General features: G+C 44.0%; 1 protein-coding gene, 1 long non-coding RNA gene and 1 pseudogene across 3 annotated transcripts in view, besides 7 other annotated features; 1 reads left to right on the top strand and 2 right to left on the bottom strand.

The window, feature by feature from the left end:
- CCDC3 (coiled-coil domain containing 3) overlaps window positions 1-23,424 on the bottom strand; it is a 203,365-nt gene that overhangs the window by 10,435 nt on the left and 169,506 nt on the right. The window lies entirely within an intron of this gene.
- LOC105376418 (uncharacterized) lies at window positions 740-21,854 on the top strand. Its single transcript, XR_001747367.3, has 3 exons — window positions 740-832; window positions 1,290-1,344; window positions 21,465-21,854. It is a non-coding gene; the product is annotated as an uncharacterized LOC105376418 (long non-coding RNA).
- Window positions 6,419-9,964: a meiotic recombination region, noted in NCBI's record as "this region was identified as a recombination hotspot within the HapMap CEU population". NCBI's record gives the evidence for it as "EXISTENCE:nucleotide sequencing assay evidence [ECO:0000219][PMID:20981099]".
- Window positions 6,419-10,436: a biological region, named in NCBI's record as "10p13 CCDC3 distal Alu-mediated recombination region". NCBI's record gives its function as "recombination_partner: LOC107275222".
- Window positions 8,711-9,978: a meiotic recombination region, noted in NCBI's record as "meiotic double-strand break mapped by DNA meiotic recombinase 1 chromatin immunoprecipitation followed by single-stranded DNA enrichment and sequencing in the germ cells of some male individuals with the PRDM9 A/A and PRDM9 A/B genotypes". NCBI's record gives the evidence for it as "EXISTENCE:chromatin immunoprecipitation-seq evidence [ECO:0000229][PMID:25395542]".
- Window positions 8,982-9,522: an enhancer, noted in NCBI's record as "H3K27ac-H3K4me1 hESC enhancer chr10:12958041-12958581 (GRCh37/hg19 assembly coordinates)". NCBI's record gives its function as "activates a minimal SCP1, AML or CMV promoter by ChIP-STARR-seq in naive H9 embryonic stem cells {active_cell/tissue: H9 hESC(naive)}" and the evidence as "EXISTENCE:reporter gene assay evidence [ECO:0000049][PMID:30033119]".
- Window positions 9,135-9,147: a nucleotide motif, noted in NCBI's record as "nucleotide motif; similarity to the predicted 13-mer PRDM9 A binding motif (LD hotspot motif), CCNCCNTNNCCNC".
- Window positions 10,122-10,436: a mobile genetic element, noted in NCBI's record as "direction; reverse".
- Window positions 10,389-10,425: a non allelic homologous recombination region, noted in NCBI's record as "10p13 CCDC3 distal Alu-mediated NAHR sub-region, recombines with the 10p13 CCDC3 proximal Alu-mediated NAHR sub-region within the 10p13 CCDC3 proximal Alu-mediated recombination region". NCBI's record gives the evidence for it as "EXISTENCE:nucleotide sequencing assay evidence [ECO:0000219][PMID:26740941]".
- On the bottom strand, window positions 17,620-17,726 carry RNA5SP300 (RNA, 5S ribosomal pseudogene 300; annotated as a pseudogene).

Genomic DNA, 23,424 nt, shown 5'->3' on the forward strand with positions numbered 1-23,424 from the left:
ATCTTTTCCTGGTTCCATTGTCAAGTTTATCGCATGGGGCTCTAACTGTTGGCTAGCCTGACTCTCTCCCAGACTGAGTCCCTTGAACACAAGGGCTCCATCTTTTCATTCTTGCATCCAGCACTTAGCATGCAGTAAGCACTTAATAAATGGATGAAGGGATGCAGGTTGAAATAGAAGCAAGTCATTTTCAATGACTCGAAAATGAAAAACCGGTGAAGAAGCTGGAGCTACCTTTTAATGCTGGAGCTGGATTCACCATCTTCCCTGTGAAGCCCCATTTCCCAGGAATAAAGTTAGTTTTGCCGGGTGCAGTGGCTCACGCCTGTAATCCCAGCACTTTGGGAGGCTGAGGTGGGAGGATCACTTGAGGTCAGGAGTTTGAGACCAGCCTGGCCAACATGGCAAAACCCCATCTCTACTAAAAATAGAAAAATTAGCCAGGTGTGGTGGTGCACACCTATACTCCCAGCTACGCGGGAGGCTGAGGCAGGAGAATCGCTTGACCCGAGAGGAGGAGTTGGCAGTGAGCTGAGATCGCACCACTGCACTCCAGCCTGGGTGACAGAGCAAGACTCTGTCTCAAAGAAAAAGAAAAAAGAAGATTAGTTTTGACGATTTGTTCTGGTAAGATCTGGGAGCTGGATTTAAGGAGCCCTGAACTTGGTGCCTTTTCCTTACTTTCCTTTTCTCCCTGCCCCCACCTGCCCGCCCCCTGTTGACTAGCTTATTTTGTACATCCCCATACCAAATCCCTTAAGAATTGCAGGATGTGACGCAGATGAGGAAAAATCCATTCTAGAGGGGAGATGCTAGATGATGGAAAACCTGGGTAAGTGCAGGAGAAGGGATCACATTTCAGAAGCTGGGGCCAGGGCCAGCCCTGCTGAGAGTTGGAGCGCAGTAGCAGCTGGATGTGGGAAGCAGGGGGACAAGATCTTAAATGGCCAGGGGTTAAGTCCTGCTGATGGCCCATGATTAAAATCAGGAAACATTGAGCTGTCTTGGGTGAATTGCCTGCCATCAGAGGAAAGGGGAGTTTATTAGCTAAGTTCTACTACAGAGATCATAAAGCCACGTCTTCAGATAAATCTACTACAAAGGTTTCCCAAAATGGAGTCTCCAGGACACTCGTCTCATTAGATGTTTACGTGGGGACCAAAAGGGTGGTTCTGGTTAAAAAAGTTTCAGAAATGCTGCATATTATGGCTTCCTCTGTGATGTAACACTTAGTATCAGCTGTGCACATTGGTCCTGCATTAAACCTCTCTAACTTTGTTTTACCCCAGATCTCATCGGTCTCTGGTGGAGATCTCCAACATGCAGCAAGAATAGACTACAAGAGTGAGTGTCAAGGCTGCTCAGTTACGAGCGGTCTCCTGTGTTTCTCCCAGGGAGTTTTGCAAACATTTTATCTAGTCTGTGATACAAAGAAGCCTGGGAAACACTAGGTCATGGAATACTGATTTCAACTCTAAATCCTTTTTCTAGAACTACCAAGGGGTAGAAGGGTGCTGAAATCACAGATTCTTGGCTAAGAACTGTGATTTTTCTTTTTTTTTTTTTTTGAGACAGAGTTTCCCTCTGTTGCCTATGCTGGAGTGCAGAGGTGTGATCTCGGCTCCCAGGTTCAAGCAATTCTCCTGCCTCAGCCTCCCAAGTAGCTGGAACTACAAGTGCATGCCACCATGCCCGGCTACTTTTTGTATTTTTAGCAGAGACAGGGTTTCACTGTGTTGGCCAGGCTGGTTTCAAACTCCTGACCTCGTGGTCCATCCGCCTTGGCCTCCCAAAGTGCTTGGGTTTACAGGTGTGGACCACGGCGCCTGGCCAGAACTGTGATTTCTTAATGCTGACCACTGTCCATGGTGAGTGCAGAGAAGGTGTCCAGGTGTAGTGGGAAGGAAGATGTTCTACTTTTATTTTCAGGATCCCAGAAAATCCACATCACAGTGGATGGGGCTCTGGTCTAGATGCAAGGCTCCATCTTCCTGGTATCCTTGGACACTCATGGTCCTGTGAGTTACAGCATCTGAAAGACATCTTCCAACCTTGGATGCCTCTGCTTGTTTAGTCAAAGCCTCCTTGGGCACCTCAGTCCTTAGCCAGTCACGGCCAGTTAATTCTCTCCCTTGAAAACAGCAGGAGGGCTATAAGGGCACTACAGCCTGGCTGATGCAGGCATTCCCTTGGGAAGGAAGAGTGACATTCATGGCCACTGACCATCGGCCCTCAGATGTGTGTATGCTCAGCCTCCGTGGCATCCCAGGCTGCAGGGGAGGAAGGGCAAAAGGACCTGATGATGTTATCTTCTCCCCACCGTGCCCAGCAGTTGACAGGTGGCTGCCAGTGGGGCACCCGGGGGCCATGCTTACTCCTGCCCTGCCCATGGAGTGTGGGTGTGCCAACCCGGGCTGAGTGAGGTGCACTGTGTCCCCCATCAGCTCTGTAAGCTCCATGTCTTGGGTCATTGCTGTTGCCCAAGGGAAGAACAGGTCATTGGCCCAGTCAAAGCTTACCCCTTGCTCTGTGGACCCCTGTGCTTAGTGCCGGAAGGGCTCTGAAGTCAGGCTCTCCCTTCCGGTGTCAGGGCAAAGCAATGAGGCTGTGGAGAGTGGAAGGCTGAACCGTGGACTAACGGTGCAGGGTACCAGGTCTCCCAAGGAGGGGGATCCTAGACAGGCACTGACCCAAAGCCAAAGCTGTCCTGCTCCCTCCCCACTGGTGCTATCCACCTGACCCATCTCTAATCTGATGCTGGTTTCCATGGGGTACTTTTCAGGGTCTAGGGTATTGGGTAATTAGGGGCCAGTCTCCAGCTCTTCAACTGAAAAAGGCAGTGAAAGGCCAGGCTCCACCTTCCTCCCAAGGGCTGGGGTGTGTGCCTGTATCCTCAGTACTGGCTGAAAACCCCAAGGGCTCCTGGCCATCCGCCCTCCCGGGGAATGCGATGGGAATTTATGAGCTGTGATCATGTTCATGTTTACTTCTCAGAGACTGATGACTTGTCCACACAGCCACATCCAGGTCCTGCTTCAGCTAAGAGTCTGTTTATTTGGGAGAATTTATCAAACCCAGACACAGGCTTTTTTCTGCTACTGAACCAAGACAGGTGGCCCTGGAGTTGAGATAGCCCTAGAGCTGACTCTCCTTGGATTGGAAAGAGCTGTGGGTGCAATTTAGCAAGACCTTGCTTCAAATGTGGTTGTGCCGCTTGCTGGCTACGTAGCTGTTTTCCTTTTTAAGGCAGAGATACTGATAATGAGAAAAAGCATGGTGTATTTGGTGTGCCTTAAAGCCATTCAATGTCGAATGCAGTTGCTGCTACATATTGCCAGACTCAGTCCATAACCATATGTCCCCAAATAAATTCTCAGTTAATATTTTATTTGGTAAAAATATTATTGGAAAACCTATAAACAACAGATGACAAGCACAATGATACGTGTTTCTGCCAATTCAAGGATTGTCCTTCCTGGCTTGGTATCTGGCACAAGTCCTTGCAAACTTGCAAGTTTCAATAACTAGTCAGAGCAAAAAAAAAAAAAAAAATTTTTTTTTTTTTTTTGACACAGAGTCTTGCTCTGTTGCCCAGGCTAGAATATAGTGGCGTGATCTTGGCTCACTGCAACCTCCACCTACCGAGTTCAAGCGATTCTCCTGCCTCAGCCTCCTGAGTAGCTGGGACTACAGGCACCCTAATTTTTGTATTTTTAGTAGAGGCAGGGTTTCACCATGTTGGCCAAGCTGGTCTCAAACTCCTGACCTCCAATGATCCACCCACCTTGGCCTCCCAAAGTGCTGGGATTATGGGTGTGAGCCACAGAGCCCGGCCAAGGGCAAAATTTATATGTGGAAGGCAGTATAATTACAGAATCCTCCCCAGTGCATAGTTGCGGCCAGCCCCTGTGAAATGAATATTATCTGTGAGAATTTTAAATATGTCTGAATTACTGTTCCATTCTATAAACGACCACAGTTATTCTTAGCGACCTCTTCAACAGTTTGCTGTTCCATCTTTCTGGAAGGCCATTCCATGACTCTGCAAGGCAGGTTCATTCTCATCCTGGTTCCTGTGTCATCTCTGCAGATGTGTTCCCTTGTCACCCCATAAGTCACCTCTCCTAATGAGGCTGTTGCATCACCTGCTTCTCTTCAGTGCCTTATAACATTGTTGGATTTCCTTATTAATGGCTAATTTGTTCTTTCTTCCACTAGACTAAAAAACGGGGACTCTATCTCTGGTTTTTACTGCCATAGCCCTAGTGCCTAATACTGTGCCTGACACACAGTAAGTCCTCAACAGAGTCACTGCTGAATGAAATAACACATTCTAAAGCTAATATACGCTAATGTTTTTTTGAAAATTATAAACTAATGAGAAATGGGAAAAAGTCACCTATAATCTCACCACTCAAAGACAACTTGCATTTCTATTTTAGTGGCATGATTTCTTAAACCTGGTTATAAACACTGTATTTACTTTAACATTTTAAAAATATTTAAATTGACAAAATTTATATTGAACATGTACAACGTGATCTGAAATATGTGTACACTGACATGGCTAATTAACGATGTATCACCTCACATACCATTTTTTTGTAGTGAGAACACTTAAAATCTATTTTTAACAATGTTCAAACATACATTGTATTGTTATTAACTGTAGCCACCATGATGTCCATTAGATCTCCTGAAGTTATTCCTTGTAACTGAAATATTGTACCCTTTGAACAGCATCTTCCAATACCCCTTCCAAGTCTCTGGTAACTGCCATTCTACTTTTTGGTTCTTTTAGCTCATTTTTTTTAGATTCTACATTTAAATATTAATAAGATCATGCAGTACTGGTGCCTGGCTTATTTCACTTAATATCCTCCAGTTTCATCCATTTTGTCACAAATGATGGTATATCCTTTTTTAAGGGTGCATAGTATTCCACTGAGTATATACACATCATGTTCTTTATCGATTCATTCATTGACAGACACTTTAGTTTGATTCCCTATCTCGACTATTGTAAGTAATGCTTCAGTGAACATGGGAGTGTAGATATCTCTTCGACATACTGACTTTGGATGTATACCCAGTAGTGGGATTGCTGGATCATACAGTAGCTCTGTTCTTAATTTTTTGAGAAAACTCCATACAGTTTTCCATAATTACTAATTTACATTCCCACCAAGTGCACAAGGGTTCCCTTTACTCCACATCCTCACCAACACTTATCTTTTGTCTTTTTGGTAATAGCCCTTCTAACGGGTGTGAGATGATATCTCATATTCATTTTAATTTGCGTGTCCCTGATTAGTGATGTTGAACATTTCTAAATATACCTGTTGACCATTTGTATGTCGTCTTTCTAGAGGTCTATTTAGGTCCTTTGCCCATTTTTTAAATCAGGTTGTTGGCTTTCTTGCTGTTGGGTGTTTGGTTTCTTTTGGTTATTAACCCCTTATCAGATGTGTGGTGTGTAAATATTTTCTTCCATTTCGTAGGTGTTTTTTTCACTCTGTTGATCATTTTCTCTGCTGGACAGGAGCTTTTTACTTTGATGTGTTCCCATTTGCATCTTTTCCCTTTAGTTGCTTATGCTTTTGTGGCCATACCCAAAAAATGATTGCCCAGACCAATGTCATGGAGCTCTGCCCCTGTGTTTGCTTCTGGTAGGTTTACAGTTTCAGGTCTACGCTTAAGTCTTTAAACATTGAGTTGATTTTTGTATATGGCGTGAGATGAGGGCCTAATTTCATTCTCTGCACGTAGATACTCAATTTTTCCAGCACCGTTTACTGAAGAGACTGTCCTCTCCCCGTTGCATGTCTTGGCATCTCTGTCGAAAATCCATTGACCATACACATGGATTTATTTCTTGGCGCTCTATTCTGTTCAATTGGTAGATTTCTATTTTTAGGCCAGTGCCATCCCGCTTTGATTACTATTGCTGTGTAGTATATTTTGAAATCAGGTAGTACAATGCTTCTTTTTTTCCCCTCAAGATTCCTTGGCTATTCAAGGTCTTTTGTGGCTCCATATGAATTTTATGATTCTATTTCTATGAAAAATTCCATTAAGGTTTTTGATGGGGATTGCATTGAATCTGTAGATCACTCTGGTAGTATAGACACTTTAACAATATTCTTCTAATCTATGAGCACAGGATATCTTCCCATTTATTTGTATCTTCAGTTTTTTCCATCAATGTCTTATAGTTTTCAGTGTACAGTGGTTTCACCATTTTGGTTAAGTTTATTCCTAAGTATGTTATTATTTTGTAACTATTGTAAATAGGATTGTTTTATTGATTTCTTTTCCAGATAATTCATTGTTAGTGCATAGAAATACTACTGATTTTTGTGTGTTGATTTTGTATCCTCAGACTTTACTGAATTTGTTTATTAGCTCTAATAGTTTTGGGTGGACTCTTTGGGTTCTTTTTGTGTGTAAGATCATGCCATTGCAAACAGGGACAATTTGACTTCTTCCTTTCCAATTTGGATGCCCTTCATTTCTTTCTCTTGCCTAGCTGCTCTGGATAGAACTTCCAGTACTATGTTGAATAGAAGTGGTAAGAGTGAACATCTTTGTCTTATTCCTGATCTTAGAAGAAAAGCTTTCAACTATTCACCACGGAGTATGATGTTAGCTGTGGGTTTGTCTTACGTGGCCTTTATTGTGTTGAGACACATTCCTTCTATACCTAATTTGTTGAAAGTTTTTTTATCATTAAAGGAAGTTGAATTTTGTCCAATGGTTTTTCTGCATCTATTGAAATAATCATAAGGTTTTTGTCCTTCATTCCATTAATGTGATGTATCTCATTTATAGATTAGTGTATGTTGAACCATGCTTATATCCCTGGGATAAATGTCATTTGATCATGGCAAATGATCCTTTTAATGTGCTGTTGGATTCAGTTTACTAGTATTTTCTTGAGAACTTTTGCATCTACGTTCATCAGAGATTTTTGGCTTGTAACAGCTTCTTTTTATAGTGTTTTTGTCTGCTTTTAGTATCAGAGTGATGCCATGTACGGTGAGTTTGGAAGTATTCCCTCCTGTTCAATTTTGTGGAAGAATTTGAGAAGAATCAGTATACTTCTTTAAATGTTTGGTAGAATTTAGTAGCAAAGCCATCAGATCCTGTGATTTTCTTTGATGATAGACTTTTTACTGCCAATTCAATCTTCTTACTCATTACTGTTCTGTTCAAATTTTCTGTTTACTCATGACTTAATCATAGTAGGTTGTATGTGTCTAGGAATTTATCCATTTCTTGTAAGTTATCTAATTTGTTGGCATATGATTGTCTGTGGTAGTCTTTTTTAGTCATTTGTATTTCTGCGGTATCAGTGTAATTTCTCCTCTTTCATTTCTGATTTTATCTTTTGTTTTTTCTTTTGAGACAGAGTCTTGCTCTGTCACCCAGGCTGAAGTGCAGTGGCGTGTCCTTGGCTCACTGCAACCTCCGCCTCCTGGGTCAAGCGATTCGCCTGCCTCAGCCTCCCAAGCAGCTGGGACTACAGGCATACACCACCATGCCTGGTTAATTTTTTGTATTGTGTAGAGCCGGGATTTTGCTATGTTGACCAGGCTGTTTTCAAACTCCTGGCCTCAAGTGATCCACCCAGTTAGCCCTCCCAAAGTGCTGGGATTACAGGTGTGCGTGAGCCACCATGCCTGGCCTGAGTTGTCTTTTTTTACTTAGTCTAGCTAAAGGTTTGTCAGTTTTGTCTTTTCAAAAAACCAACTCTTTATGTTGCTGATCTTCTGTATTATTTTTCTACTCTCTCATTTATTATTATTTCTTTCCTTCTAACTTTGGGCTTAGTTTGTTCTTCTTTTTGTAGTTCCTTGAGGTAACACTAGATGTTTACTTGGCAAGTTCTTTTTTGATGCAGGCATTTATTGTTATAAACTTCTCTCTTAGAACTGCTTTTGCTGCATCCCGTAAGTTTTGGTATGTTGTGTTTCCATTTTCATTTGTCTCATGACACTTTAAACATTTTTAAAATTTTTTTCTTTGACCCATTGGTGTTCAGGAACATGTTGCTTAATTTCCACATATTTGGGAATTTCCCAAAATCCTTATAACAGGAAGAATTTTTCTGAAACCAGAATTGATTTCTGGTTTCAAACGATTGTGGTTAAAAAAGATACTCAGTAGGATTTCAGAATTTTTAAATTTATTATCTATCCTGGAGAATTCTCTGTGTGCACCTGAGAAGAATGTGCATTCTGCTGCTGTTGGATGGAATGTTATATATATGTCTAGTGGTCCATTCATTAAATGTCTTGTTTGGGTCATTCATTTTCCTGATTGGTTCAATTGTTTTTCTGCATTTTGCAGGGTGGGGTGGGGTCACTGACCTTCCTTAAAACAATTATTTTGAATTCTTTGTCAGGTAGCTCATAAATCTCTGTATCTTTAGAGTCAGTTACTGGTGCTTTATTTTGTTCCTTTGGTGATGTGATTTTTCCATGATTGTTTTTGTGGCCATAATTTGGTGTTTGCACATTTGAGGAAGTAGAGATTTATTTCAGTCTTTGTTTGAGAAAGCCTTTCACCAGTAGCCTGTCCAGAGATTCTGGGCAGGCTGTCTTGTGTGGTCATGGGTGGGTTTGCTACTGGAGCCTTTGGGTAGGCTGGCCTGGTGCCTGGATCCACTACGGTGAACTTGTTAATTGGTACTGTGGAAGCCAGCCTGAAGCCTAGGTTCACAGAAACTGACAAGGTATTGTGGTGGACCTTGACCCTGGATCTGTAGGTCTTGGCCAGGCACTGGGACAGGCCTGGAGCCTGAGTCCATGAAGGCAACCCTTGGTCTTGAGACCATGGGTGCTGACCTGGCACCAGGGTCTGCAGGGTGGACCTGGGGCAGGTATGGAGCCTGGGTACCTGGAGCCATGGGGGCTAGTCTGGAGCCTGGGTTCACAGTGGATGGTCCTGGAGCCTGGGTTCTCAAGGACAGGCCAAGCACTCGATTGTCCTGGGACAGGCCTAAACCCCTGGTCTGCTGGAGAATAGCAATGCAGGGGCTGCCCTGGCACTGGGCAGGCCTGGAGACTATGTCTTAAGATGCCAACCTGGGCCAGGCGCAGTGGTTCACGCCTGAAGTCCCAGCACTTTGGGAGGCCAAGGTGGGCGGATCACAAGGGCAGGCGATTGAGACCAGCCTGGCCAACATGGTGAAACCCCGTCTCTACTACAAATACAAAAATTAGCTGGGCATGGTGGTGCATGCCTGTAATCCCAGCTACTCAGGAGGCTGAGGCAGGAGAATCTCTTGAACCTGGGAGGCGGAGGTTGAGCTGAGATCGTGCCACTGCACTCCAGCCTGAGGGATAGAGACAGACTCCATCTCAAAAAAAAAAAAAAAAAAAATTGACAGCCTGGGGCCACGGGTGCCAACCTGATAGTATGGTGGGCTCAAAGCCTGAAGCTATGTGGACCAACCTGAGGCAGGAGAATCGCTTGAACCTGGGAGGCAGAGGTTGCAGTGAGCTGAGATCACGCCACTGCACTCCAGCCTGGGTGACAGAGAGAGACTCCATCTCAGAAAAAAAAAAAAATTGCCAGCCTGGGGCCAGGGGTGCCAACCTGGTACTATGGCGGGCTCAAAGCCTGGAGCCAAGTGGACCAACCTGGCTCACATCTGATCTGGAACCGGAAGTAAGCCTGAAGTCTGGGGCCATGAGGACTGGCCTAGCACAAGGCTGGCCTGGAGGCTGGGTCTGTGGCTGCTGGCTTGCTGAGTAAGGCTGCAGGGGCCTGTCTGGTGCTGGGGTGGATCTGAAGCCTGGAGCTATGAGAGCCATCTAAGTGCTGGAAGCAGTCCAGAGCTTGGGGCTACTGGGTTGGGCCCGGAGACCAAGTCCATTGGGCAGGTCGGGTGCCAGAGCAGGCCTTTATGCCCAGTGCAATGGTACCAGCCTGGAGTCTGGGGCTGTGAGGCCCTTGCATGGCACTGGGTTTTTCTGGGGCAGGCCCAGTGTAGGTCTGAGGCGAAGTCCAGAGCTCACTTCCCTTACCTTCCCCCAAGTGGAGAGGATCTCTCTCCATACTGTGCTGCCCGGGGTTGGGGGAGGTGATGTTGGAAATGTCCTTATTTCTTCTTCTTTTTTTTTTTTTTTTTTTTTTTTTTTTTTTTTGAGACAGTCTTGCTCTGTTGCCCAGGCCGGACTGCAGTGGCGCTATCTCGGCTCACTGCAAGCTCCGCCTCCCGGGTTCATGCCATTCTCCTGCCTCAGCCTCCTGAGTAGCTGGGACTACAGGTACCCGCCACCATACCCGGCTAATTTTTTTTTGTATTTTTAGTAGAGACGGGGTTTCACCGTGTTAGCCAGGATGGTCTCGATCTCCTGACCTCGTGATCCGCCCACCTCGGCCTCCCAAAGTGCTGGGATTACAGGCGTGAGCCACTGCGCCCGGCCAGAAATGTCCTTATTTCTATGCCACATTGAGATACTGTGATCTCTCACCTGGTTTTCCCAGCTCTTGGGAAGGTGTTTTCATGTAGGGAGAGTTGTTCAAACTGATTTTCTGCGTGGGAGATGAGTGGTGAAGAGTCCTCTTTTGTCATCTTGCTGACATCCTATTTCTTGGAACACAGTGTCTTTTAGTGTGAATTTCGCTTTCTAAAATTTACATGGTATAAAAACATTGCAACCCGAGTTTCATTATTCTGATGGCTGTAATCATTTCAGATGACTCTTTACTTTACCGTAGTCCTTTTGTTGAGTCTGTGGGCTGTTACTGAATTTTGTACTTTCCTAAAGATTTTGATGTGCCACGTTTTTCTTTATCAGGATGATTTCTTTAGGATTGACACTCAAAAGTGAAATTACTAGAAGTTATGAACATTTCTTAGAAGTATGGCTTTATGTTGCCAAGTTGTTTTTTAAAAATGTCATACTGACTGAAGGTTTAACTTTTCAAATTCCTGAGTTTACCTAGAATCTAGTTGGGTATATGGTATGAAGGGAGTATATAAAGCTTTTCCAAGTAGCAAATCAATTATTCTCCCATATTTTATTAAATACGGCTCCCTTCCCTACCCATCTGTATTACCTCCTTCTTTAGGATTCTTACATATGCTAAGGTCTGATCGGACCCACCTTGTCCTGTTTAGCTATGGGTTAATAAGTACTCCAGTGCCATATGACTTTTGTTAAATTAGTTTTATAATATATGATGTGATAGGATATTCCTTTTTCAAAAATTTCTTGGCCAACGTTTTTAAAATACAGAAGGATTCTATAAAGATCTTAAAATATAGTATGAAACCTTTGCAGTTCCATACAAGCTTTGAATGGATCAAACACTACAAACTGTATTAGACTATTGCAAAGTTATACTTTAGTTCTCTGATCAGTTTCTATGCCCATTATTTTTCCTTAAAGACACTTGATTCCTTCTGTAATTCCTAATCAGGGAACCAAAGCCATAAAATGTTATGCTTCATTCTGGATTTAACCTATAAAAGTTGCATTTCCCCTTCTTCTCATTACCTATCTAGAAAAATATGCACAGATGTTGATAACAGGATGATCACTGAAAAAGCAGGAATGACTTTAAGACCCATGTGTAGGAGAACAGTTAAATAAACTGCAGCCCATCTACCCCATGTAACACTATGTGTGATTAAACAGATGGAAGGGGGAAGGCTTCCAACATACATTATCGAGTAGAAAAAAAAGACACCAAGTTGGCCGGGCACGGTGGCTCATGCCTGTAATCCCAGAACTTTGGGAGGCCGAGGCAGGTGGATCACGAGGTCAGGAGATCAAGACCACCCTGGCTAACACGGTGAAACCCCATCTCTACTAAAAAAATACAAAAAATTAGCCATGCATGGTGGTGGGCGCCTGTAGTCCCAGCTACTCGGGAGGCTGAGGCAGGAGAATGGGCGTGAACCCGGGAGGCGGAGCTTGCAGTGAGCCGAGATTGTGCCACTGCACTCCAGCCTGGGTGACAGAGCAAGACCCCATCTCGAAAAACAAAACAAAACAAAAAAGACACCAAGTTCTAGCACCATTCCTATAGTATGTTACCATACAGTTTTTAAAATGCCCACATAATTATTTTTTAAGGGTCTATGTATTATGTGTGTAAAGACCTAGGCTGGAAGGGTCTTTATTGTTAGAGTGAAAAGGAAGCTGTGTTTTTACTTGCAATGCTTACATTTTTACACAGATCATGTATTTGTACATGCTTTGCTTGTGTAACTAGAAATGAGTACTATTGGCCAGGCAAGGTGGCTCACGCCTGTAATCCCAGCACTTTGGGAGGCTGAGGCCGGCGGATCACTTGAGGTCAAGAGTTTGCCATCAGCCTGGCCAACATGGTGAAACCCTGTCTTTACTAAAAATACAAAAATTAGCTGGGTGTGGTGTTTTGTGCCTGTAGTCCTAGCTACTTGGGAGGCTTAGGCAGGAGAATCACTTGAACCCAGGAGGCAGGGTTTGCAGTGAGCTGAGATCATGCCACTGCACTCCAGCCTGGGCTACAGAGCAAGACTGTCTAAAAAAAAAAAAAAAAAAGAAATGAGTACTATTTTAAGAGTCACACTCTTTAAAGGGATTATCGGCTCCGGGGCTGTATTCCTCTTGCAGTCGCCTTGATGCCTTTGCATCTTGCAGCTCCTTCCATGCTCAGCACAGACTTGTGGCCCCACAGAGTGCCCGGGGTGGGTGGGGGGTGGGCGTTAGCCCGAGATGGCATGCAGCTCCCAGGGAGATGTGCTATGATTAAATCCTTGCCCTGCAGGGATCACAAAACTTGGCAGTTGCCAGTTTATGTAAGAAAAGCTATGCTCAGGAAAGAGAGAGGGAGTTTGACCAGGGATGGGCAGTGACTTGGAGCCTGATCATGAGTGGAATTGAGGCTCCCCAGCCACCAGTCACAAATTCCATCTAGTGGGCCCGGAAGGGTTCTCAGCAGAAGGTTGTGTCCCATAAAAAAGGAGAAGCTGCTAAACATGCTAAGTGCATTAGTCTGTTTTCATGCTGTGGATAAAGACATACCCAAGACTGGGTAATTTATAAAGAAAAAGAGGTTTAATGGACTCTCAGTTCCATGTGGCTGGGGAGGCCTCACAATCATGGTGGAAGGTGAAAGGCACGTCTTACATGGCGGCAGGCACGAGAGAATGAGAGCCAAGTCAAAGGGGAAACACCTTATAAAGCCATCAGATCTCATGAGACTTAATCACTACCAGGAGAACAGTATGGGGGAAACAGTCCCTATGATTCAATTATCTCCCACGGGGTCCTTCCCACAACATGTACGAATTGTGGCAGTACAATTCAAGATGAGATTTGGGTGGGGACAGAGCCAAACCACATCACTAAGGCTTTGGACATCAAATGTGGACATTTCAGGGCTGGTTCATGGCTGTGGCAGGGAGCAGTTATTTACCCAGGGCAGAAAGTTTCCTCGACTGAGGACTTTATCTTCACTTCATTCTGGTGAGGGAGAAACCATTCTTTGAGAATTTACTACGTATTAGGTTGGCGCAAAAGTAATCGTGGTTTTTGCCATGACTTTTAATGGCAAACTTTAAAAGTTTTAAAAACTTTAAAATGTTACTAATACCAGGCACTGTATGAGAAGTTTTGAACACGTATCTTATTATATTCTGACATTCCACCCATATGGGAGGTTGTACCATTCTCCCTGTTTTGTGGATTATAAAAGCGAAGCTCAGAGCACTGACGTCACTTGCCTAAGTCCCCGTGACAAGTGAAGGAGCTTGAATTGGAAATCAGAAGGTCTATCTCAAAAGGTAGCGCTCCCATGCTCATAACCTCCATGGTAGACTGACTACCTCTAGGAAAACTTGAGGTCTTCAAATAAGAAGATTTATTTTGCAAACCAGGGGCTCACAGAGGAGGGCAGGCTTCAGCAGCCTTGGCTTCCCCTAACCCTCGGCAGCATATGAGAACATTCTCTTTGCAGAACAACTGCCTTCCAACTACTCTCAAGAAAAATGCAGGCAAGCTACATATTATGATATTTGCCTGGGACATCGTGGTTTTAGTTACCAAAAAAATAAAACAACCTTTCCAGCTGACTGCCTTCTCATCTTCTTCCATAATCTCTCTTTTGCGAGCAGTCTGGGTATTCAATTTAAAATGAATTAAGGAGGCAATTGAGGAAGGATGTCAGTCCGAGCTTTTAAAAACTCACAGTTAATGAACATCAAATTCCATTCTAGTCTGCAAGAAGGTAACCTTTTGACTTGTAAACTTTATACATCCTCTGTGCTGTCATCTGTCCCCAAGGCTGTCTGTGTACGTCTGTGGGGAAGGTCAGCCCGGGGCCCAGAGCTGGCCTGTGCAACTTCAGCAGCCAACCCCCTCCCCGACTCGTCCCATTGGTGCCCTCTGATGAACTTGAACCTGGAAGCTCTGTCTCACTGTCACACTTCTCTGACCAGTGCAAAAGCCAGGCCTTATCTTTTTCAACTTTTTCAAATGATCTCTTAAAAATTGTAGCAAAATATACATAACATAAAATTTACCATCTTAACCATTTTAAGTGTACACTTCAGTAGTGTTAAGTACAATTACATTGTTGTGCAACCAGTCTCTGGCACTATTTATCTTGCACAACTATAATTTTTTTTGCATTGTAGTTAACTGCATAGACCATAAAAGTTATCGTAGCCGGTTTCTGTTTTTTGTTTTTTGTTTTTAAGACAGGGTCTAACTCTGTCACCCAGCTGGAGTGCAATGGCCCAATCATGGCTCACTGTAGCCTCGAAACTTCTGGGCTCAAGTGATCCTCCTGCCTCAGCCTTCCGAGTAGATAGGACTACAGGTGTGGGCCACCATGCCTGGCTAATTTTATGTAGAGATGGGTCTTGCCATGTTGCCTGGGCTGGTCTTGAACTCCTGTTCTCAACTCTCCTACTTCAGCCTTCCAAAGTGCTGGGATTACAGTCATGAGCCATTGTGCCTGACCCTATCTTAACTATTCCTAAGTGTACAATTCAGTAGCATTAAGGACATTCACGTTATACAAACATTACCACCATGTACAGTCCAGGCTTTATCTCTGACTCCCATTCCTCTTATCATCTGTTCAGCTTCTGCCTTTACACACTGACTTCCACTTCTCCAGATGGTTCTTTGCTCTCTTACATGAGTGCCGTGTTTGTGAATCCAGTCTACAGCGTGAGCTGCCCACGGAGCACAGGCTCCCAAGTTACCCGCACTCGGACGGGCTTCTGCAGACCTGGGTGGGAGCTCCCATCTGTGCCAGTTCCCAAAAACTCCTCCTAGCCCAGGCCCTGCATCCCACCCTCCCATCTGTGTCAGAAGATGCTTTGGAACCACTTGCATGAGTTAGAATTGGCCCAGCACCTCCCTCAGCAGTTGACCCAACCCCCAGAAACCTATTCTCTCCTCCACAAAATGGGGCCACTGCTGTTAGGGTGGCTGTGACAATTTAAGAAGAGGCTTGTAAGGTCCCAGCACCTGGAAGGCCATCTTGGATGTTAGCTGTCACATTCTATTCTAGAAGACAACCTCCCCACCCTTCCTCACTTCCTTCCTTCCCAGCCCTTCTCTCTGAAACATGCTCTTCCCCCTCCCGGACCCCTTCCCGCGCCGCAGGAACCCAGGATGTTTATGTTTTCCCCGGATGTGGTACATTGTAGGAATCTGGCTGTTTTCTGAACCTAAGGAGTGTCAATTTCTCACCTCTTCCCTTTGGCTGAGTCTGGCAGAAAATGCCCACTTAGATGTTGCATCTGATAGTATGGGATGTACAGAAAGAGATGCTTCCCCAAATGCCAATTTATAGCCTAGAAGAGGAGCCCGGAGCCTTCCGGACTCAGGAAAACATACTCTTATTCTGACATTGGCCAAATGTTCAGTATATAAACTTATGACATCCTTTCCTTCCCTCTCCCTTTGTGAGTGAGATAAGATAATCCCTTGATGAATTGGAACACATCACTTATTTTTAAAAGTCATTTGGGGGAAGAAGACCATCTGGATGCTTAGAAAGCTTCAGAACACAGGAAAGAAACTGGGTAGACAAAACCAGATTGGGATAACCTTCCACAGACTCCCCATGGACCCACCATCTGGAAGTTTAATCTTCTAGAAGGGAAAGTAATCTCTGGGTGCTGTTCGTCTGTTTGGGGAACACAGGTCAGTACACTTGCAGCATGTCATGTCTATGCTCAGAAACCTTCAAAGGCAACCAGAGGTCGCCATGAGATAGACGGTCCTCCCTCTGACATCATTACTTTTTCACAAATACCTGAATTACAGCCACTCTGAAATACTCGTTATTCCCTGAACATACCCCAAACATTACTTCTGAGTCTTTATTCTGCTGCTTCCTCCTGGCACGCCCTTTCCACCGGCTTAAGTGGCACCGTTTGCATGGCCAATGTGATGCTACCTTCACAAAGCCAGTCCTGGGTCCCCTGACTGCCTGAAACCCACCACCTCTGGCCTCCTATGGCTCTTGGAACCTCCCTTTTTGCATTAATCCTGCAGAGGTTAGAATGGAAGCAATGATGTGATATTTTGTGATATGATACCTCGATGGGTTTTCCTTTGGGATATGCGTCCCGGTCATTTCTATCCTTTTTTCACCTCCATGCACCAGAATGAGTTCCGTGAAGGCAGCATCTGTGTTTGACTCCGGTCTGTGTCCCTCCCGACCCGTCTCCATGCCTGGAACTGGGCAGGTACTCGGTACATTTTAATCACTTACACTTTACAAGTCAATAGTGCTATTCTGAGCATAAAGGTTTCAGACAACCTCTGCTGTCATGTGTATCTTTGCAAATATCGATAAGGACATCTGAACTCGACACTCCAACCCTGCTCCTCTACCCACTCAGGGAATGGCTACACTTTGCAATGAAGCCAGGGGTGAACGGAACTTCACCTTTGATAGGTGAATGAAACACTAGGTTTGGTGTGAATTTGTGAGCCCAGTTTTGTGCCTTAAAGGAGACTGGCTTCAAATGCTGTAGAATTGCCATGGCCTCAGTTTCTGCTTTAAGCACCTACTATCATTAAAATAGTTTATGCAACCTTCTAAAGGAAGCTGAGTTATGGGGGACCCTTCCCAATCTCCCTGAAATCTGTAAAGGAGACTAAGAGCTGTATATTCTGTAGTCCAACTCTGTCTCTAAACCACTGAGACCTCTTGAGTTGCCTATGTCGAGGCCCTCTAAGTAAGGCCCTTTGCCGTACAGTGTGGTTGAAGACATGGAGGGCATTGCACTGGTAGGTGGCAACCGCTTTTGAGCAGAAATGGGCTCATTATGTTTTAGGAAATTGTGTGCTTGTGGGTTGAAGGAGAAATCCTAGAATGCTTTCTGAAGCGAATATTCGTTGCCAAAACAATTTATAACTGTGTTGCCATGGAAGCCAATATGTCACGTTTCACTCAGCCTAAGAATATCTAAACTCTAATGATTCTGAGAATAGCCGAAGTGGAACAGCCAGGTGTGATCTCTACGAGAGGCCCAAGGTTAACATCCATTTTCCAGTTTCTAATCCACTGTCTATGAATCTCTCAAAATCCCCAACTTCTTACTCTGAATGTCATTTTGGGAGCGTGGGCTTTCCAACTGGAGTATCTGTGAGGCAACTCCTCCTCTTCTCTTATCCAGGTAGTCACCAGGCCAGACCCTGCTTAGCTTCCAAGATCTGACGAGATCAGGTGCATTCAGGGTGCTACGGCCGTAAGTGACTCATTTTCTTTTGTCGTGTTCTGTGTGTATATAAATGCTTGTGAGAATCTCCAAATATGTGGTCAATTTGGGTCTCATGAGCTTGAGGGACAGTGAAAAAAGAATGGAAGAAAATAAAGTGCGAGTAGTTAGAGAATTTCTATGGAGACTTGCAGCTGTGTAAAGTGAAATCGATGTGGCAGCGGTGAGCAGCCCGTGTGGACACCAAGCACAGGTGGGGACAGTAGATTTAACCTGAAGTTCCAGAAGCCTCTGTGTGTTGAAGGAGAGGGGGCCACCAATACCCTACAGGGTAAAGGCACATTTCAGAGGCAGAGGTGTTCTGAATGAAGCACATGGTCGGTTCCAGGAGAGCCCAACTGGGGAGCAAAAACCCTGGGTCAGACTGGCTGGCATCCCTCAGGAAGTAGGCAGGTGGGGAGTGGGGTCTGGAGAGAGGAATATGAAGGAGGGGTGCTGAGAAATCCAGCCAGTGGGAGAGCTGTTAAGGTCCCCAAACTGGGTTGTACTCTTGGCCTCTTTGGCTTATATTCAATAGGTAACCAAACTTAGTCAAAAAAAATCAGGATCTCCTTTTCCCTCTTTAAAGTCCTTTGTGGGCCATTAATTTCAAAACTGACACCTCTTGAGTTGCATATTTCAAGGCCCTCTAAGTAACCTCTCCCCCAGCGAAGGCAAACTCTCCGCAACTCCCCACAAGCGGCCAGTCTGCCTGAATGCCCCTGTGGCGAGACACTCTGACCCTGCCTAGCATCCAAGCCACTTTTAAAAAATGCACAACTGCCTATCCCAAAGGTAAACCCTCTGTGTATCTTAAAATATAACATACATGGTCTTAACTCTTGCCTCTGGAGTCACACAGAATAAACTCTTCTCTTCTTTTCCAAGGTGGCATGCCAAAGGTGTGCACACAGCCATTGTATCTTCTCTAAGTCCTCCGTCCCCATGTAGTCATCCCTGGATCATTTCTCACATTACATTTTCCCCAAAACATCTAACTCCACATCTCATGAAATTCTCAATTCATCCTATTGTGATACCCAGGGCTGAACCCTGTGCTTAAGGGATGATCTGACTGGGATTGTTATAGCTCAAACTTTATGTATGAGGCAGAAAAGAACAGGCAGAACAAAAGCTGGGGTTTGGCACAGGCCCTGGGAGGCTTTATTGGGCCACAAAGGCAGAATTTGTAGGGGCAGTTGGGTACTTGAGATGCTATGCCCAAGAGCAGAGGCTGGGTAGGAGCAGAGGGACTGCTGGCTGCCTGCTGACCCAGCTGGCAGGAGCGCAGGACAGTGCTCAGTCCTGGGTAGGGACTGGAATACTGGGAAGAGTGAAAACAAGTGGATAGTCAGGAGCAGAAACCAAAGGATCCATGGAGGATGCTGGAGGACACAGGTGGAGTGTGAAGACAGCTGGGATTTAGTGATAAAAGGCTGGTTTGTACTCCATGGACTGAGTTGTGTGTAACTGCTTGTGATCATCAACTCAGCTTAAGAAACTGACATAACCCAATTATATATTCCTCATATAGGCCAAGAACTGGTTGAGCTGAACTTAAGCATGGCAGGCAATAGGGGCCTTAGCTATGAGGGCCAGAGACAAACAGTCAGGGCTGGCATGGTGCCCACTCTAGAGTGCCTTATTTATGATGTATTAGATTTGTGCCCCAGGGAGCACAAAGAATGGCATTTCCTAGATTTCTACATCTGTCCTTATGGAGAGGGCTTGCTTTCCTTGCTGTGTATCCTGTTGTTCTATTGGGCAGGAAAAAAGGTCAATTAAGAGATGGGACAAATACAAAATATTAAGATGGTAGACTAAACAACTAAATATAAATGGACTAAACACTAATAAGTGTACAGAGATTAAAGCAAGACCCAACAACATGCTGTTTACATATACAGGCACAAATAGGTTGAAAGCAAAAGGACAGAAAAAGTTATATAGGTATATCATGCAAACACTAAGCATAAGAAAGCTTGTAGGGCTATATTGATATCAGGCAAAGTAGACTTCAGAACAACATTAAGTATTACTAGAGATAACAGGATATTTCATTGGAGGTCAACTCATAAAGACATTATAATCATAAATGTGTATACCCCTAAAAACAAAAAATACATAAACTCAGAGCATTTATTTAGCACTAGAAAGATGAATAAAATATAGTTATTACTCCAAAACAATTTCCATTTTGGAAAAAAAGGGATGTTAACATTTTTAGAGTAGTATATTAGCAACCAAGAAAGAGGCCCCAAGATCCTGATATCAGCCAACGTGATATTTACCAGTTCCTGTTTTCCATCTCCCCTGCCAAAAAGAAATTATTTTTAAAATGGAAATTTCCGAACACACATAAAAGTAGAGAGATGAGTATAGTGAGCCTCCATGTAGCCTCACCACTACTACAAGAATTCTAGCACTTCCGCCTCTCATTTCATCTATCTGCTGGCCCTTCCCCAACTACTTTTTGCTATAGCATTTTTAAGGACATGTCAGATACCACCTGTAAATACTTTAGCACACATCTCTAGCTGATAACATTTGTAAAAGCATAACCATCATACCATTACCACACTTAAAATTAACAATTGCTCAATACTAGCTAATACTCAGTACAACTGCCTCACAGATTTCTTTTTTATATTTAGTTTGTTTACATCATGATTAATATAAGGCCCATATATTACACTGATTGCTAAAGCTCTAGTCTCTTTTACAATATTTTTTGTTGTTTTTGTAAAGCCACTGATTTCTTATGAGAAACTGGTTCATTTATGCTACAAATGGCAAAAAAAAACCTTTCTTTTGACTAAACATCTCTTCTAGAAATGATAATGACCAATATGAAAATAAAAAGCAATAATGTAGACGCTTAGGAGTGAATTCTCTAATACACACTTTGTCCCAAAACACGCTAAAGGGATTGCATCTCATTTCCCGACAAATACACTGAACCTATTGGGGTTAATTTGAACCATATTAGAAGTCCATGAATCCATTAGAATCATCTGGAGCAGGAACTTTTTTCAATTCAATTGCAAGTGAAATTCAGTCTACATTTGAAAAGTACTAACAAGATGTATAAATTCTATCAATCTCAAACTACATACACAGTCCAGAAATGGAATTGCAATGGAGAAAGGACTTCAGAGGCCCCCTGGGTAACAGATGAACATTGCCAAGTCTTAAGTAATTATCTAATTTTCTTCTAACCTCAAGGCATGCTGGGGCATCTGGGAGTTGTCAGGGAATGCAGGTGTGCACACCCAGGGCCTCAGCGTGTTACAACACAGCCAAGGAAATGGCAAAGCAATGCTGTTCAAATAAAAATGTAGACAGACCCAGAGTTTAGAAGAGGTGACTATACCAACTGTGGCTCAAGGCATCTGAGGTTAGTCAGCCAGTACTACAGGGAACCATTTCCCTCCAACTCTTGTCCACACCAGATTCAAATTTTATTTTCTGTTAAGCTTGGAAAGCCAGTATCTTGGGAAGAAAAGGTTCAAAAAGCCCCAGGCACAAGAGAGAAGAATACAATAAAAAATGCAACAAAAGGAAAGAGAAAGCATGAGATGATTTCTTTTTCCCAGTAGTTTTCTGTTAAATTTCCCTCCAACCGTTTTAGGAATTACAATACTTAACATCCTCAATAGGCTACATCAGCAGTTGAAGAAGTGAACCAATACCAGCTCATGATCAGTGATCCATTTTCTTATTCTCTTGGCAGGGCTGCACTTAGCCTCCAGAGTTGTCTCTTCAACAAGACAGGTCTGATCATCTCAGTAACCTTCTTCTGGGACTCCTGTTAGACGTGTATATTTAATACCATTGGCTAAGTCGTAACAATCATCCAAGTCAACCGACCTCCCAGCCTGCCCACATTGCCTCCCTGTAGGAAGTGATTTTGCACACAGAAGCCCCTGGTGGGGTAGGGTGGAGTGTGAAGTATCTGTTCTTGGACCACAGTTCCATCCCTGGAGCAGCAATTGTGAAGCATCGTTCTCCTGTTCCAGCATCTCTCCAAAGACGCTCAGGTCTCCGTCACAGGATCACCATTGAAAAAGGTGTCTGTCCCTCTGACACATACCCAGGGGAGGAAAGAGCAAGCTTTGGAGGCACCTGGTTGACTTCACCTGGAGGTAAGGGTCTGGGCAACTGGGATCACCAGACTGAAGGATTAATTGAAAGTTCAGCAGATGGCTCATGCCTGTAATCCCAGCACTTTGGGAGGCCTAGGTGGGTGGATCATGAGGTCAGGAGTTCAAGACCATCCTGGCCAAGATGGTGAAACCCCTCCTCTACTAAAAATACAAAAATTAGCTGGGCGCGATGGCAGGCACCTGTAATCCCAGCTACTTGGGAGGCTAAGGCAGGATAATTGCTTGAACCCAGGGGGTGGAGGTCGCAGTGAGCCGAGATCGTGCCACTGCACTCCAGCCTGGGTGACAAAGTGAGATTCCATCTCAAAAAAAAAAAAAAAAAAAAAGAACAGAATAGACCCCACCTTCCTCTGAGTTTTATTTTTGTGCCCTGTCATGTTAGAACCTCTGCCTTGTCTTTAAGTCACCAAAACAAGGTGCCAGGGCTGCATTCTCTCAGGGTCTGCAGGGACTCTGATGAGGGCCTTTCACAGAAGCAGCTTGTGAGCACTTAGCGAGATGGCTACCTCTGCCTCAGTGGCTCTAACACTCTCCCTGTGAAGGGCAATTCCTCCTTTTGATAGACAACACCCTGCAAACCCAGATATGGGTTAGAGTCCACAGGGAATGGAGCTCACTCTGCCCCCCTCTGCCACAGATTATCTTTCTCACTCTCTACCACATGCCACTGGCCTCTCCAGTGACCCCCTCACCTTCCCTGCCTCCCCAGGCCCTTCCACATGGGTCCAGCAGGTCCAACAGGCCCCAAAGCCGAGCCCATTGAAGACAATTTAACACCATTTGATTCTAAGCTGGTCATTACCTCTTGAGACTGTTTTAAAAGGGAGCTATGATGGTAGTTTAATGCAATGGGGCGGGGGGATGATCAAACACATGTAAATGAGAGGTGTTTGAAAATGGTAAAATGCTGTACCAAAGCAAGCTAAGAAATTGAAGTGGGAGAGGGTAAAGTACTATTAATATAACAGAAGGCACAATCAGAGAAGAGCTAGAACTAGAAAAAAATTTCTGTTTTTGATCTGGCCATTGAAATTTTTTTATGAGTAGATTAATAGTTGTATTTTAAAATAAAATTGCAGTTCAGGCATCTATATATGATAATGGGAAATGCTAGTTGGGGATTTCCTCTGTCTTCCATAATTGCAGAGTTGAAGCAGAAGGTCCCAATGTCCTCCAGCTCATGGTCTAGGCACAATTTCAGCCAAATTATTTTCATCAAATAGGTTTCTAATCTTTTTCAAAAGCTGTCCAGGACAATACGTTGTACAGTTTCTCTAGGAAATGATGTAATATTTTTACATTTCTTTTCTATTTGGTTTTGCATTGTGCCCTCAAAAACGTGTCACAAAAGCATTTGGCAGACATTTAATAGAGTGATGAATATAATCAGATATTATTTTGAGGGAAAGTGTCACCTAATTTCTGTTGACTCATTCTGAACAATGGAAAACATTCTTTTCCCATGCTTGGAATAAGAGTTCCCCTTGATTTACAAATGTTTCTCCATGTTATTACTAAGAGGTTTAC

The sequence above is a fragment of the Homo sapiens genome, chromosome 10, assembly GCF_000001405.40.
Source record: "Homo sapiens chromosome 10, GRCh38.p14 Primary Assembly".
NCBI classification, from domain to species: domain Eukaryota; kingdom Metazoa; phylum Chordata; class Mammalia; order Primates; family Hominidae; genus Homo; species Homo sapiens.